Source organism: Homo sapiens, chromosome 3, assembly GCF_000001405.40.
Source record: "Homo sapiens chromosome 3, GRCh38.p14 Primary Assembly".
Taxonomy (NCBI): Eukaryota; Metazoa; Chordata; class Mammalia; order Primates; family Hominidae; genus Homo; species Homo sapiens.
Genome location: NC_000003.12, coordinates 131,608,139 through 131,624,933, shown reverse-complemented (window position 1 = coordinate 131,624,933; position 16,795 = coordinate 131,608,139). Strand labels below are relative to the sequence as shown.

The following is a 16,795-nucleotide window of genomic DNA, read 5'->3' as shown; positions in this document are numbered from 1 at the left end:
TCTCTATGAGCTTCTGTGCATGAGAAGTGCAGTTCTGGGGTCAAGGCAACAATGATACATCCCATGAGACCTCACAGTTTTTGTAGCACCCAATCAGATAATAGTCACCTGGTAAAGTGCTATGTGAGTGTAGGGAAAGAGCACGTTTTAAATAGAACCAGTCTTAGGAGAAACGTTATTCCGCTGAAGAAACTAGAAAGCACAGGCAATGTTTGCCTCCTGAAAAATTACTCCATGTTAAGATTTATAGGTTCTAGGTCTCTCAAATTAGTTGAATCTACTTGGACTTGGGGTTGAAACTCAATGTATAGTAAGTTCCATTAGTGATAAAAGAGAATGAAAAGAATATGGAAAGTTAATAGGCTTTCTAGAAAATATAGCCATTTGTTATTATGGTTCATTATTCTGCTATGTAAAAAAAAAATGGTTAAATTGAGGAAGGGACAAAAAAAGGCTCTGGGGAAAAGGGTATACTTTTCATGGTAAGAAAATAAAGTCCTGTGTTTTCTGGTGCAAGGACAAGTTACTTCTCCCCAAGGTATGACCCTGGCAATTTCTGGTGAAAGCCACAATTCCTAGAAACCCAGACCCAGATATCAGCAGTTAGGAAAATATGTATCTTATGGTTAAAATGAGAAAGCTATGTTCTAAGGCCATATGTAGCAATGGGACACAGTCACAAGGAAGAGAGCCAGGGTCTGAGCAGCCTCAGCAAACTTGGTGCGTGAGATAAGCAATGGTCAGAAAGATGGCCAAGTCAGACTCAGAAAACCCAGGTGGAGTCATGGCAGAACAAAAGGAAACAAAATCCAAATTCGCAGACAAAACTCAGAAAGACACCAATAGCAGTGAGTAAAGCAAGGCCAGGCACCCAAAACTAAGGAGGATGGTGAGAAGGGTCAGCCCTTCCAGAGCCAAAGAGCAGGTCAAGGTGGTAAACAACTGCCGTGACAAATAAGGAGAAAAGGAGCTATACTCTCTTTATGTTTTACCCACATCGGGTAATGCCTCATACAGCATAGATACCCATTACCGATTGAATGAATAAATAGGCCCAACAAGCAGATTTAGAACATTGGAAACAGGTCTTCCTAGTTCAGCCAACTGAACTGGTTTAGCTATCACCTAAATCAGTGCTTCTTAAACTTTAATATGCATAAAACCACCTGGGGATTTTGTTTAAATGCAGATTTTGGTTCAATAAGTCTGGGATGCAACTTGGGAATATGCATTTTAACACAGTTGTGACCGCTATGCTGCTGATCCACAGATCACACTGCTCCACACCAGGATTTGAATAACAACAGCCTTGACACAGAAGCTTGAACTAGCTTTTTGTTAAGGCATAAATCAATTTCAGGAGGGAGGACTGCAAGTAGAAATAAAGAAGCACCTGCCAGGAGTAAGGAGGTGAAGTCTAGTCAAGAATGACAGTTCTTGAGAGGAGTGATTTGAGAAACTCTCTTGTGACTGCTGACAGCTCCTAGCCCAGCAAGAGGAGACCTGGGTAGCTCAGAATTGCACATCAAGATTTTTTTATTTTTGAGGAGGGAGGGGAGATAGAACATTTAAAATTGTTTACTCACAGGAGCCATCACAAGTTTTCATAACCTGAACAAAAATCATCACCCAATGAAGGATTTCATTTCAGCACACTCCATCTGTCTTGTTGCATAAAAATAAAAGTTCAGGGTTTCTTTTTTTTCAGTTTAAGTATGTCACTACAGTAGAGTTTAGTGACATAAAAAGATGATATAAAAATAGAATTGATGGTGTAGCAAAAGGTAGAAATGGGGACTTTATAGACATCGCAGACAGAATTATCATATTAACTCTTTGTAGTCTCCAATTAAATACCTGGCCCCTCCTCTGTCCTTGTACTTACCGTCCTCTATGAACTATAGCATTTGGTCTCCATTTAAGGAAAATTTGCATCATGCTTCTGTCTCTTCTAGACACCTATTGATGCGGCTACCAAGCAACAGAACAACAACAGCAACAACAAAAAGTGATGAAACCCAACTTAAGCTATGATAAACTTCTGTGTTCTAGGGCAGTACTTTCAGAATCACGGACAGCGGCAAACTCCTGTGGAGGCAGATCTCTTTGATTTCAGTATGGGCCTTGCAGCTATCTCCCTCTTGCCACTGTGCAGAGGACAACCATTTTTGACCTGCTGTAAGTGTCCACCCTCTCCTGTCAATTATTTCCCCCTTCCCTATATTATAGGACTGTTCCCCACTGTGCATATACATAGAAGCCAACACAGACTTTTTCCCATAAGCAGGTGTTGCATATATATTCCTAGAATTAGGCACCCATATATTAAACAAGTTTTCCAGGATGTATCTGTAGCTCCTAGACTGTTTCACATTGAATGCCTGCTCTGCTTCAGTATGTCTCTCTCAGCTACTGACTGTCAACCTACATCTGTTCATGTTTATTAAGTCTAGGAGATGGCCTTCAAGACTTTTAAATGAGCGACACTTTAGGATAGGATTCACAATATGTTTCATAGTATAACAATCTTAAGATCATGTGTGAGTAATCAACATTCTAATTTATTGATAACTGAGCAAACTTAAGTTGCCATTCTTCCTAGTGTAGTATAGCAAATGAAACCATGTTTACAGCAGGGGATTAACTCCATTTCCTAAAATCAAAATTGGGAGTAAATAAGTGAGGTAAAAGGAGGTTCCCAAGAGTGATGAAACCAGACAAGAGACCACAGCCAGTGGTCTATCCTTATATGAGGCCAATGCTTACAAATAATAAACCGTCTCTGAGTTACAGAGACTCAGGAGACATGGGCTTAAGAAGCTGATTGATTACAATTAGGGAAAGACACATTGGAATGTGACAGCTAAGAACATTTCTTTTCTTTTTTTCTTTTCTTTTTTTTTTTTTTTTTTTTTGAGACAGGGTCTGGCTTTGTTGCCCAGGCTGGAGTGCAGTGGCACAATCTCGGCTCCCTGCAACTGCAGTCTCCACCTCTGGGGCTCAAGCCATTCTTTCACCTCAACCTCCTGAGTAGCTGGAACTACAGGCATTCACCACCATGCCCAGCTCATTTTTTTTTTTGTATTTTTTGTACAGATGGGGTTTTGCCACATTGCTCAGGCTGGTCTCAAACTCCTGAGCTCAAGCAATCTGCCCACCTTGGCCTCCTAAAGTGCTGAGATTACAGGTGTGAGCCACCGTGCCTGGCCTACATTCCATTTAATGGCATAATTTTTAGGAAACATTATTGTAATTTCCTCAGAATAGGATTTATGGACTACAAGTTTCATGGGGAAGATTCTCCAAAGCTGGCCCTAAAACCTGCAGTATCTGAGGGATAATGGCCTAGAGGATATCTGACATGGTAGCATTAAGAGAAGTAAGAGAGGGCTGGGCATGGTGGCTCATGCTTGTAATCCCAGTGCTCTGGGAGGCTTAGGCAGGAGGATTGCTTGAGGCCAGGAGTTCAAGACCAGCCTAGGCAATATAGCAAGGTCCTGTCTCTACAAAAAAAAGTTTTAATTAGCCAGGTGTGGTGGTGCACATCTGTGGTCCTAGCTACTCCAGAGGCTGAGGCAGGAGGATCACTTGAGCCCAGGAGTTTGAGGCTGCAGTGAACCATGACTGTGGCACTGCACTCCAGCCTGGATGACAGTAAGAGAACCTGTCTAAAAAAGAATAAAAAAAGAGTAAATGACCATAGGAAAGGCACAGTGAAGTGGAACATTGTCACTGGCAGTTATAAGGAACAGAAACTCCATGGGTCTCAGAGTCAAAGGAAGACATTAGGGCTTATTCACCCAGAAATGCGTGCTAAGTCAAGGTCAAAACAATCAACTTTGAACTTGGGTCTTAGTTTTGCCTCCATGCTGGTTTTTGCTAAGGATCCCTCTTGGATACAAGAGCCTTCCTACTCATCATGGAAATAACAGACAAAAACCACTTGATGATGGTGTTATGAGTTTCCTATTGCTACTGTAACAAAATTACCACAAAATTGGTGGCTTAAAGCAATGAAAATGTATTATCTTATAGTTCTGGATATTAGAAACCCAAAATTAGTCTCTCTAGGCTAAAACAGATGTCAGCAGAGCTGCATTCCTCTGGAGACTCTAGGAAAGAATCATTTGCTGTTACTTTTCCAGCTGCTAGAGGCTACCTGCGTTTCTTAGCCTGTGACCCCCTTCTAGCAATCACAGCACCCTGACCTCTGCTTCCATTATTGCATCTCTTTCTTTGATTCTTACTCACCTGCCCTCTATTATAAGGACTCTTGTAATTATATTGGGCCCACCTGGATAATCTGGGCTTCTATTCTTGTCTCAAAATACTTAATTACATTTGTTAAGTTCTTTTTGCTATTTAAAGTAACATATCCACAGGTCCCAGGGATAAGGGTATGGACATACTTGAGGAACCATTATTCTGCCTACCATCAGCCGTGTCTTCACTGAAGGACAAAAAGCATTTATCTATGCTGAACATGGTGAGTAACTCAGGACCCAAAGAGCTCAAGGAAAATGGCTCACTATTCCAAAAGTAAAAGGATTTACCGTAGCCTAGTTTGTCAATTTAAAACCTTTAAACACTTAACATCACTTCTTGCTCCAAGAAACTCTCTCCTTAAATCATTTTCTTGCAATACATCATCATTATTTTTTAAATTAACCAAACAATTACAGCAATTTTTGTGTTCTGAAAACAGGAACATGATAGTTGGCTTCTCTCCCAGAAACCTTTTACATTTCTTTTTACCTATGAGTGTTATGAAAATCATCTCCAACATATGCAACCAGAGCAGCACACTAGCATGCTGCTGTGTCCTGGCTAAAACTCTCCTGGGATGCTCACACCCGAGAGAGCCTGGCAGAATGGCCACTCACTACTTTTGCCCAATTAGAGGAGGATTTTGTTGCTAGGCAGGGGTTTACGCTTACAAAACTTCAGACAGAAATGCTAATCAGAGACTGAAGGCTTCACTTCTCCTGCAATCAGTCAAGTCCTGTCAATTCTACCTCCTTAATCTCTTTCCATCCCTCCCCTTTCCTCTCTAACCTTATGCCTTTTCTCAAGGCAGTGTGACACATTGCAGGGATTCCCCAAAATGACTTGATCGTATTAACCATTTAGGGTGTATATTAAACATGCAGATTCCTAGGCACCTCACTTAAAATTCTTATTCTAAGTCTTGGCAAGGGCTTTGGAATCTAAGTGTGTAATAAATACGCCAAAGTGACTCTTATTATTAGGCTAGGATGGGCAAAACTGACATGATGAAATAGGACGGGCTTAGAAATCAGGCACACCTTTGTTTGAACAAACATTTTTCAAGCCAATGAACTTGGAAAAGTTACTTAGCTACTCTGATCCTGTAAAATGAAGAGTTCATTGGTTGGAGAGTTGAATGGAATCGTGTGTGCATTTCACCGCACACAAAGCCCAGAGTTCAATAATTGTGAATTATCTTCTCTTACCGCCCTTCATGTCTCTCCCTATATTATAATACCTGTCATATTATAGTTTTTACAGCTGAGGGATGCTGACTGACTCTGCAAATGTCACAGAAAGACAACCAGAAACACTTGTCTAAGTCCTGTGCCAGGACCTTCCCTATTTGTCCAGTTGTCAGCTTCATCGTGTAATTACACAGGCTTTCAGAGCTCTCCCTGCTACACAGCTTCCTCTCATTCACAAGAAAATGGTGGGCTTAATCATGTGAGACCTTGTACACCATCATGGGGATTTAGGCTTTTTCCAGTCCTTTGTGATTTTCCTTTCCTAAGGTCTTCAAACTAGATATCCTTATCTGCCTCCCTATTTTACCTACAATCATATCCCCTTCCCCAACAATTGCTCCCTTGCAAGCTCTCTGCTTGACCAGGTCATTTTCCTCCTACTCTATGGGCAACAACTTTACAAGTTTGTCCACAATGCTTTTTACCTGTTCACCTGCCACACTGTTCTTCAAAGCTCACATCATATTGCTTTCCATAAAACCTTCCACAATATCCCTAGACTAACACCCCAGGAATACAGGTTGTCCTTAAACCTTGGGTTACACACAAGCCTTTAAATATGAACCACTCTATGGTGTTCAGTCAGCCGGTAGTCATGGGCCAATGCTGTCTCTCTCCTTGGGAATGGGGACCTCTGCTTCTCCCACCTCAACAGTGTATGCTGTATGAACACACATGGCTTTGATTGATATGCCAGGCATTGTGAAATGCCTTCTCTAACAAATACTTCAGGCTTGAACACCTAATCTTGAGTGGTAATGGAACAGGTTTCTGGGAGATCAGAACAAATGCAGAGAAAACACATTCTACCTTAAACTGTACTTTCTTTCCATAAATATCCTAGAAATGCTGCAAGAAAGCCCCGATACTGTGGAACATACAGGTAGAAAACTGAAGGACTAATACAATTTCCAGTAGCCCAAAGGATAGTAAGCAAGAAAATGAGTTGTGTCCACAGTTAATAATAATAATGTGTTGTATACTTCAAAATTGCTAAAAGAATAGATTTGTAATATTCTCCCCACAAAAAAGTCATAAGTTGGTGAGGTGATGAATATGTTGCTTAGCTTGATTGAGTCTTTCTACAATGTATACATAGATCAAACTATCACAATATACCTCCTAAATGTACACAATTATTATTTGTCAATTAAAAATACATTTAAAATGAGTTAAGCATCCCTTTCTATGCTTTTACAGCTGCCTCTGCCTTCCCAAACTACCCCAGTATTCACTCCCCCACACCTTGGGTAGTCAGCCAAAGTCTCCCACTAGGAATTTCTTGAGACATTCCCTGTATCTCCAGTAGTTATCTTATACCCAGTTCCAAAGTGATGTCTCCCATACCCTGAGCTCACCTCCCCATACACACTAAATTGTAAGTTTCTGGAAAACAGGTACCACATCTTGTTATCTGTGTGTCTTCAGCATTTAGCACAGTATCTGTCACACATCTGCTCTGGAAATGGAGTATGTATGAATGAAGAAATTAATGAATGAATGAATGACTTGACTGATGGTGAGTTAATATTGGTGTCAAACAGAACCCTCTGAAGAAAATGGTCACAGTGACCAAGCAAAGACTCAGAATTAAAGTCTTTCACTCCATGGAGAAAATGGTTTGTTGGAAATAAAGAAAGTTCCCACCTTCCAAATGGAACCCGTATATAACCCAGTGGAAATTATGACTTAATTTGAGGAGAATTCCTATAATAGCAACATGTTGTGCAGAAAACTGAAGATACAAAAAAGACTTTGTCCTTAAGGATGGGCCTCTGCTATAGCACAGGGAGTGTGGCATGGGAAGAAAGTGAGGGTTATGATAAAGATCAGCATTTCTATTGAAAATTTTAGTCTACACATTGTTTTCAAATAAATTATTTATTGAAAAGGCGTCTGTATTAGAAATCAGAGTATCTGAGTTTCCAAAAAAGAGGCCTCACCTCCGATCTTTAGCTTCTTCACCTGTAAAATGAAAAGATCTCTACCCATCTGCCTGGGTTGTTGGGGGGATCAAATAAGAAAGGGATGTGACAGCATTAGAGCTATTAGAAACAGCCCCACAAAATAAGTGACTGAATAAGTCAGTAAGATGAATTTTTTACTGCATCTGAGCTAAGAGCAGGTAGAGCAAGGCTTTAAAAGCAATACTACCATGAATAAATTGTGTGGTGTTGGTTAAGTAATCTCCCCTTCCACAACCTTAGTTTTCTGATCCTTAAAATTAGAGGGTAAGAGTGGAATGATCTCCAAATTACCACTTAACCTAAGATATGATTCCTAAGACCAAATAGAGAAAAGGCAAGGTAAGTTCCCGTTTAATGAATCAAAGAATACCAGCTTCCTTGGGGCATTCATCAGAACAGAGCTCAGGTCCTATAAATCTACATCATACAAGTGACAATCAGAAGCACATTGTCCTCTAGCCTATGTTACAGCTGTGCTTGTTAGCAGCATGTCCCTAGCCCTCATTATCCCCGATGGACCTGAACCATTTGGCCAAAGCCTTACAGGGATTGCCAGAGCTCATAGTTATTTATAGGTGCAGTTCATCAAAGGCTTTGAGCTTTCCTTTGTGGTGAGAGCTGATCTCTTTGACTCTCACTCTATACCTTTTTCTTTTATGTTCTGTCTGTTCTTTAATTCCTTGCATTTTTATGTGCCTTCAGTTCTGATTAATTCGAAGCTGTACAGATTTTACCATACTGATTCATTGGTTGGGAGGGATCAACAAGAGGAGGAGAGAAATACTATACCAATTCAGCACACAGAAAACCTTAGCTCAGAGACCTGAAATGAAGGTTTGAGGGTAATGGGACCAAGAAGCATCACCTGTGTGCCAAATCTGTCACTAGGAACTTTTCATAGGAGTTTATGTTGCTTAGGCTATTTTTATCCAGAGGAATTTGGGTTACCTCTAGTTTGGGAAGATTTTGCAAGAATTCACCTGAAAAAATTGGAAAGACAGGAAATCTGGCCACACTCCCAGGATTTCTGGAAGAGCTGAACAGCCAGGGCTCACAGTCCTTATTAAATAGCTCAAGACTCAGAAAAATCTTTCAGAACTCAGAGCAGCCCTAACAACTGGGTCATCTGGTTAACCTCCTAGGCAGCAGAGGTTCGCATTTATTCTCATGCTATACCATTATGGCAACTCAGCTATCACATTGTTTTCACTATTCTCTTGCTCCTACTCCCACAGCTAACTGCTTTATTCTTTTTCTCTGTCTCAAGTTCTGATTGTTTCAGTTAGTCTCCATTGTTTATGATGAGTAAAACTTCTACATCAAGTCACCTCATAGGCTCTGGTCAATGTACAGCTTGGTTGTCCTTAAACAAGGTACCCATTTCTCGTCTTTCATCTGTGGCCAGGGGAGCATGGGCATGAGATACCATTATAGCAAGTTATATGGAGAGAAACCCTCAGAAGGGGGCTGTGGCGGGGGTGGAGTAGCAAATGTTCTTTTGTGTGTGTGTGTGTGTGTGTGCGTGTGTGTGTGTGTGTGTGTGTGTGTGTGTGTGTGTGAGAGAGAGAGATGGGGTTTTGCTCTTGTTGCCCAGGCTGGAGTGCAGTGGCGCCATCTCAGCTCACCGCAACCTCCACCTCCAAGGTTCAAGCAATTCTGCTGCCTCTCAGCCTCCTGAGTAGCTGGGATTATGGGCATGCAGATGTTCTAAAGCCTAGACTGCCCAGTAAAGTGTTCAAAGTCAGTGTCATAATAGAGCCTGAGATGCCTATATAAACCAAACTTCTCTTCCTATAAAAAACTTATGATCTATAAAAATAAATTCCAACTCAAAAAGCACATAAACAAAGGTTTTAAGAACACTTTTATGTACCATGTTATTATTTTACAATTCATTCTATACCACTCTATTATTCATTGACTAAGGGTTCTTCAATTAGTGAGGTTCCTAATGTGTTAAAATACAATTTACTTTATCAAAGTGTAGTGGTGGCATAACTTCTAAGCATCATCTGTTAGAATGAAGTACACACGTTCAAGGTTGCATTTTATTTAACTAATGGTATTGCTATGGTATTATTTTCTGTGATAATCTATTGCAGAACTGAGTGCTTTAGATACATTCCATGAGACCAGGGCTTTTCTATGAGCTGGAGACCTAAACTGTATTTACAACAGTGTTAAAGGCTCTGCTCATCACAGCAATCTTACGGTATTTGATTCTCTCCATGTCTTGGTAAACAGTGCAAATATGAGGGAAAGGAAACTGTATATTTATCTAAGACAGTGGTTCTCAAACCATGGTCCTAGGAATAGCATATCGTCATCTGAGATTGTTCAAAATGCAGATCCTCAGGCCTTACCCCAAACTTACTGAATCACAAACTTTGTGGGTGGGTCCAGAAATCTGTGTTTTAACAAGCCCCCCAGGTGATTTATGTGCATACTAAAGTTTAAGAATAGTGATCTAGGATACTTGTGTGAGCTTCCTAAGACCCCAGGGAGACTCTATTTTCCCTGAGAACAATGCAGTATACCCATAACTTGGCTAAGAACAAGAGTATTAAAAACAAGATATTAAGACATCTTGAACAAGGTATTAAGACATTAAGAACAAGTATTAAGAACAAGGTAACTATTGTATCTCTAGTTAGTTCTGAGTGAGGGTCAAATCTGGGAGGAAGCCCTACCTAAGGATGAATGCCATATACATTGGTTCTTTTTCACCATTCTCTGTCCTTCCCTTCTGCTTCAGCAGGCTGCCCCTGACCCCACCTCATGTCTAATCTCCTTCAGTTTCCTACATAGAATTTTCTCCTACTTCTTCTGTCAACCCCAAGTCCAAATTTCCTTTCAGACCTACTTCAAAAACGACTCCCTACAGGAAATGGTCTATATTGTCTCTCAATTACATCCATTAAGCATTTATTAAACACCTACTTTTTTTCCTGGCACAAGTTAAAGAGACACATGAGTATCAGACACTGTTCTCATGTCCAATAAGGATGCACAACAAATCACCCCTCTCCTTTGCTTTCACTCAAACCTTTCTCTGCAGTTCCTAGTAAGTTATCACATAATTTCACTTTGGTTTTCACCTTCTTCCAGCATATATTTATCTTCTCTGCTGTTTGACAGGTTTCTTGAGGGCAGTGACCATGATTTTAAACTCATTTGTACATAGTATGTTTCCTAACAGCCTACTGAGCACATGCTGGGGACATGTTGGGTTTAATGAATGAGATCACAAAACAATAGTATAGACATGTGCAGAATGGATTCTATACCTTCACAGTAAGTCTCACTGTCTTTTATTTCTCTGCCTTTTGATCCACCCCTTACCCACTGACTTGGGCTACAAACCAATAAAATCCTCAAGACAACTCATTTGCCTAAAGGTGGATTCATGTTTCTCTATGCGGGGCTGGTGAGGAATCCAAACAAGTGCCAGGCCAGCCACTGGGCCAAATGACAATCCACCAAACTCTTAATTAAGTTTAAAAATACATCTTAAATACTGTTCTTTGGTACCCCTTTTTTTGGTTGGAATGATGTTTGGGCTTAAAAAAATATCTTGTAGAATCCTGACTCAGGGCCAAAGGATGAATTGGATGCCATCAATTAATGGAGTTAGACAGAACCTGCCAAATAAATGACCTGTACATGACCAGAAAGACACAAAGGGGAGTGATGGTCTGTTTAGCAGTGATGAGGTGTCCAAATTTTTCAGCTGAACTAGGTTACAGGCCAAGCTGTATTCTCCAAGACCAGCTGCCTAAAGGTTGCTTACAAATTCCCTTTTGACTCACATGCCAAAGCAATACTTAGGTTTACAGAGCACATACCTGCCTGCCAAGGTAGTTATTTGCAAATATGAACAACGTTTTGCAAGGCTCATATTTGCCAATTTTCCCCTCTTTATAGATCAAAGCTGCAGAGAGCATCATAAAAACTAAACTTCTAGGTAAAGACAGAAAGAAAAGAAGGCAAGATTCCTGTGGCTCTCTTGGAAACTCATGCTGAGAAAATCATCACCATTTTATCCATAGGATGTTGGGGTCTTGAGTCATCAGAAGACTTTGGTACCTGCTACCTGATCTTGGGGCTTTAGTGAAGCCACAAGAAACTAGAAGGACTTGCCATGAAAAATGTATGGTTTTGTGAAAAACAGAGATGAGATGGTAATCTCACTTAGGCTCACTAAGGTTGTCAGTAGGAGGAAGAACCTCTGGTAAGAAAAAGAAGCTCAACTATAGAACCTGGAATTGCTAAAACTATTCACTAATTAGCAGCCTCAGATGTACTCTGTTTTCAAGGTAACTCAACTTCCCACTTAACTCTGACCCAACCATGGACTCCTCTGGGTACTCTGTGGCCAAGCTGTGACAAGACCAGATCATTCAAACCAAATGTCTCTGAAAGACAGAAGATAACACAGAGAAAATAAATCTAGGAGTTGTATGAAACTAGAATGATCTTGTTTACAAGATACGACTTCCTCTTCAGGGCTTGCAGTTCTGCAGCATTGACTAAGGTAATGACATTCAGGTAGTTCTTTTCCTCCTAGCACACATGCTACCATCAGTGTGTTCTAGACATACATGCCTCCTGACTCAGCAGACTGGAGACCAACAATAGGAAATAGGTTTTAATTTTATTTTTCAGCTGTGATCAATAGACAACAACTAACTGCTATGCTGGATTGAGGAGGAGTCTAACGTAGGTTTTATCTCAGCTCAGTGAGGAAATTATATGATGGATTAGTGATGTCTTGCATGGATGAAGATAAGAGGATAAAGAGGGAGTAATCGGGGGATGAATGATAATGCCTGTGCCCGGTATTTGCCATCCTAGTCTAGATCTAAGAGAGAGATGCCAAGAGAGAGGTACAGGATTCTCTCTTTCACCACTCTATGGATCTGACTCCTCTTCCATGACAAATATGTGAATTAAGGCCTCCTCACTTCAGGGAAAACCTTACCTAACCACAGAGGCCCAATTGCCATGTGCAACCATGTTAGATTATTGCATAGTAGCTTCAATATTCACACAAAAGAAACACTAGTATTTTTTTTTTGACACACAGTCCCACTCTGTTGCCAAGGCTGAAGTGCAGTGGCTCAATCTCAGCTCACTGCAACCTCCACCTCCTGGATTCAAGTGATTCTCCTGCCTCAGCCTCCTGAGTAGCTGGGATTACAGGTGCCCGCCACCACGCCTGGCTAATTTTCATATTTCTAGTAGACATGGGGTTTCACCATGTTGGCCAGGCTGGTCTTGAACTCCTGACCTCAAGTGATCTGCCTGCCTTGGCCTCCCAAAGTGCTGAGATTATAGGCATGAGCCACTGCACCCAGCCCATTTTTATTCCTGGAATGAATTATGACAGTTATCTTAGTCTTCCTTTTGGTCACACAAAACCTGGAGTTTCTAAAGTTACAAATAGCTATCACAGGCAAAGAAGCTGACCCTTCTGGGTTACTGTAAGCTTTGCAAAACAGTCCATACTTGGAGAGAAAACCTGACTTGGGCTCATTTACCGTGACTTGGGCTTATTTGTCGTGACTTGGGCTCACTTATCCTTGCTCATGGTGAAGTTTATAGGCATTTCTCATTTCTGGCAAGCTGAGAGAGGAGGAAGAGTTACAAAATGACTTCAGTAAGGGGAAACTATTGCAGGAGAGTGCAAATTGCTAGTTTTAAATACAAATGTCAGAAGAAAGTCTAAGTGAAAGCAGGGGCTGGTATGCAAAGGAAAACAATTATGAATGGGGAAGACCTAAAAAAAAAAAAGACATTCTAGATCAAGAGGAAAGGAGAGGTCCTCCATATGCCCACACAAAGGACATCGGTTAAGGATCATGCTAGACAGCAAGATTGGACTGAATCTCAAGGTGTAGCAACCAGCTTATTTAAATAAGTAAGTCCAACACTTATAGGGACTTTAGATCTAAACAGCCAAGAGCAACAATCAAGACAGGGAAGTGCTGAAACATCACAAGTCAACCTCCATATTCCACATGTGGCCCAATGACAAGCATTTATACAATATGATTGATTACCCTGTAGTTTACTTTGTCAATCAGTCATGAAGTTAATTACATATTACTCTTGGGCACTATTATAAATAAGGGTATAGCAAATAGTGATAAATTTAATGGTCCTTAGCATTCAGCTATTAAATTGATGACACAGTCATATCAGCATTGATGAACATGGACTTTCTTCATCAAGGATAATTTATATCAATAAGTATAATGGGCTATCTCATTCTCCTTTGGCCAACACATTATTCACACTGTTATAGGCAGTGAATCTATTAGTAAATGAGGAAAAAATACGTTTTGTTTTCTGTTTTTTAAAAAAAGACTCCTGATAAATGCTGATTATAAGAAAACAGGAATTTTATATCACGGACATAAAGGTTAAAGAAAATGTGAGCTCACCATAAAACTTGCTGAAATGGAAAATTAAGGTGGATTCTAAAGAGATAACCTGCATCCAACTGTGGCTTCTCCAGGAGGAGCCTTTGAATTGTCCTGTTCACCTACCTAGAATGCTCTTGTCTTCCATCCACTCCCCGTACACTTGGATGATTCCATTCCTCCATCAGTCATTGTTTTAGATGGCATGTCTTCCAAGAAGTCTTCCCTGACCTTCTGGACTGAGTAAGATGCCAATCTTAGGTCAGGTCCTCCAGAAGCAACCCTGAAATAAGGATTCATGTGAAAGTGTTTCCAGAAATAACGGATAGGAGAGTGGAAAATTAGGACCAGAGAGGAGAAGGAGACAAGCAAAAGTAGGATATAAAGCAAAATCTCAGGAGAATTTTGGCCCAATCCTGCCAGGGATATCTAAAAACAGTGTAGTCACATCTCAGTTGTCTCAATGAACAACATTTAAACCTTGCTGTGTGTCAGTCACTGGTAAGGATTTCTCCAAGCACTTCCAGTACTGCACACTCAAGGAGAACAATCTAGCAGTCTCAGGACAGCCCTCCAACAAAGAGGCTGAGGTGCTGAGTGTTGAGAGAGAAAAGACATCAGGAACTCTGGTGTGCCTCAAAATGATAAAGGAATTCAATGTGACAGAGTAGAACATATTGATAGTATCTGCTTCACTGGCCCTGCAAAGGGTTCCTGTAGCACCCTGAAGACTCTCTAAGATAGCATTTACAATGCTGCATTGTAGTTGCTTAGTTACTTATCTGTGTTTCTTGCTAGATTATAGGCTTTGTGATGGAAAAAGCAATGGCTGCCTTGTTCATCATTTTATCTACAGTGACTAGCACAGTACCTGGCCCATGGTTAGTATTCAAAAAATATTTGTGAAAGGAGGGAAAAAGGAAAGGAGAGGGGGAAGTTTGTTTGGTGGAAGTATTATACTAGTGTAATACATTACACACTCAAACAAAAACGAATCTTGGTAAAACATTATTCTTAAAGGAATTATGCAAACCTACTTTACTCATTCTGAGCATGAAAATCTTGGCTGTAAAAGTTGGATATCGTCCATGCAGCCCAAGAGTTCATTTGTAACAGTCCAGTAGGGGCTCTTATATCAACTAGATGAGGGGAGAATAATAAAACTCCTGGTCTGGAATGAAAGCTATAGCCATTTTACTATATGGTCAACCTGAACAAACACAAATATGGCAACAATAATGTTTATATTAATTCCTAGCTTGTTTTTATGAAATATTCTTGAAAATTCTTAGCTAATGTGGGCTAGAGAACCAGCTCCATTCCAATCACATCTAGATTGTATTTTAATCTTTCATTATTCCCTTACATGTATCATTTAACATGTATTTTTTAAAAACTAAATTCTCAGTGGCTTAGTAAAATGAAGATGTGTTTCTTAGTCAAAAAAATCTAATCAAGTTTTTCTTGGGCAGTCTTCATACAATGATTCAGGCATCCTGGTTTTAAACACCTGTGTCTTTATCATCCCACCTTCTTCTAAAGCCTAAAGTCTCACACCTCCAGCTGGTGGATAGGAAAAGAGAATGGAGAGAGCACACCTCATTCCTAACTACTTTAGTCCAGAGGTGAAACACATCACATTCCCTTGACGGTGTCTAGTCAAATGGCTAGGAAATGTACCCACCCATCAATAACCCTACACTGGAAAGCACAAATATTTGGTGGATAGCTAACCAACCATGTCGTTCATTCAACAATTACTTGTAAAGCACCTAAAATATACAAAGTTCCTTGTTAGCTGTTGGGAATAAAATTGTAAGTTAAATAGAAGTGGTTGCAGCCCCATGGAGCTAGCTTACGGTTTTGGGGGTAAATATACATTAATCAAGTAATCATGAAAACATATGATCCCAACTGTGCAATGAAGGAAAAGTACAAGGATAGAATAAAGTTTATAACAAGCTAGATCTAGCCTGAATACCTGAGGAAGGAACATATGGGCTGATATCTGAAATTGGAGGAGGAGTATCTAGAAAAAGTTGGAGAGAAAAGCATTCCAGGCAGAAGGAAGAGCATGTGCCAAGGCCCTGACATAAGTAGGAAAGAATGCCTGTGTGGTTGAAGCCTGACAGTGAGAAGGAAAATGGGGGTGTCAGGGAGGTGGGGGAGTGTTGTGGAATGAGGCTAGAGAAGTAGGCAGAGACCATCAGGGGTCTACAAGCTATGGTAGGGATTTTAGACTTCTTCCTAGTTCTGTTGATTCTTATTATGTGTTTACTATACCCTTCTAGTCACACATTGGTTTATGAAGGTTGTTTATATACATATATTCATACAGACCTTCACTGTTCTTGCCCTTCCTCTCAGTTCTCCACTATTATCAACCTCCTAGAGTATCCTTTCCTTAAGGCCAGTTGATTTCAATGAAAGTTGTCTTCCTCCCCTTGGCTCCATTTCAGCAGGCATAACCAACACTGTGCAGTGCCCCAGGCACACTGTGGGTTCTCATATCTCAGTGCATTTAGCACACACTTGCTGCTCCTTGTACCTAGAAGACCCACATCCTGTCATACTTCAGGCTTCATTGCATTCATCCTTCACAACTCAGCTTCCCCACTCAATTCTACTGTAAGTCCTTCACTGGCTTTCCTCAAACTCCTGGCTCAGTCAGATTGCTATCCACTCCAAACCCACCGTACTCCACATTAAATGCACCACTAGCATAGCACTTATTAAATTGTGTAGTTGGTTTATTTGAACTGACTTCCCCTACTGTGTTCCAAGTTTTTAAGGAAAGGGATAGTTTTCATTTTCATTTCCATATTACCGGTGTCTTGCCATTATTTTATACATAGTAGGCACTCAAAATATAGCATTAATTGAATGA

The 16,795-nt window shown here is 40.5% G+C and overlaps 1 protein-coding gene across 10 annotated transcripts in view; it reads left to right on the top strand.

Moving 5' to 3' along the window:
- CPNE4 (copine 4) overlaps positions 1-16,795 on the top strand; it is a 506,038-nt gene that overhangs the window by 414,673 nt on the left and 74,570 nt on the right. The window contains exons 3-4 of one of the 10 annotated variants that reach the window (XM_047447423.1): positions 2,053-2,178; positions 4,383-4,486. The exons of the other annotated variants lie outside the window; for them this stretch is intronic. Coding sequence (XP_047303379.1) covers positions 2,053-2,178; positions 4,383-4,486 — 230 coding nt within the window. The remainder of the gene's footprint in view (positions 1-2,052; positions 2,179-4,382; positions 4,487-16,795) is intronic. 10 annotated transcript variants of the gene reach the window in all.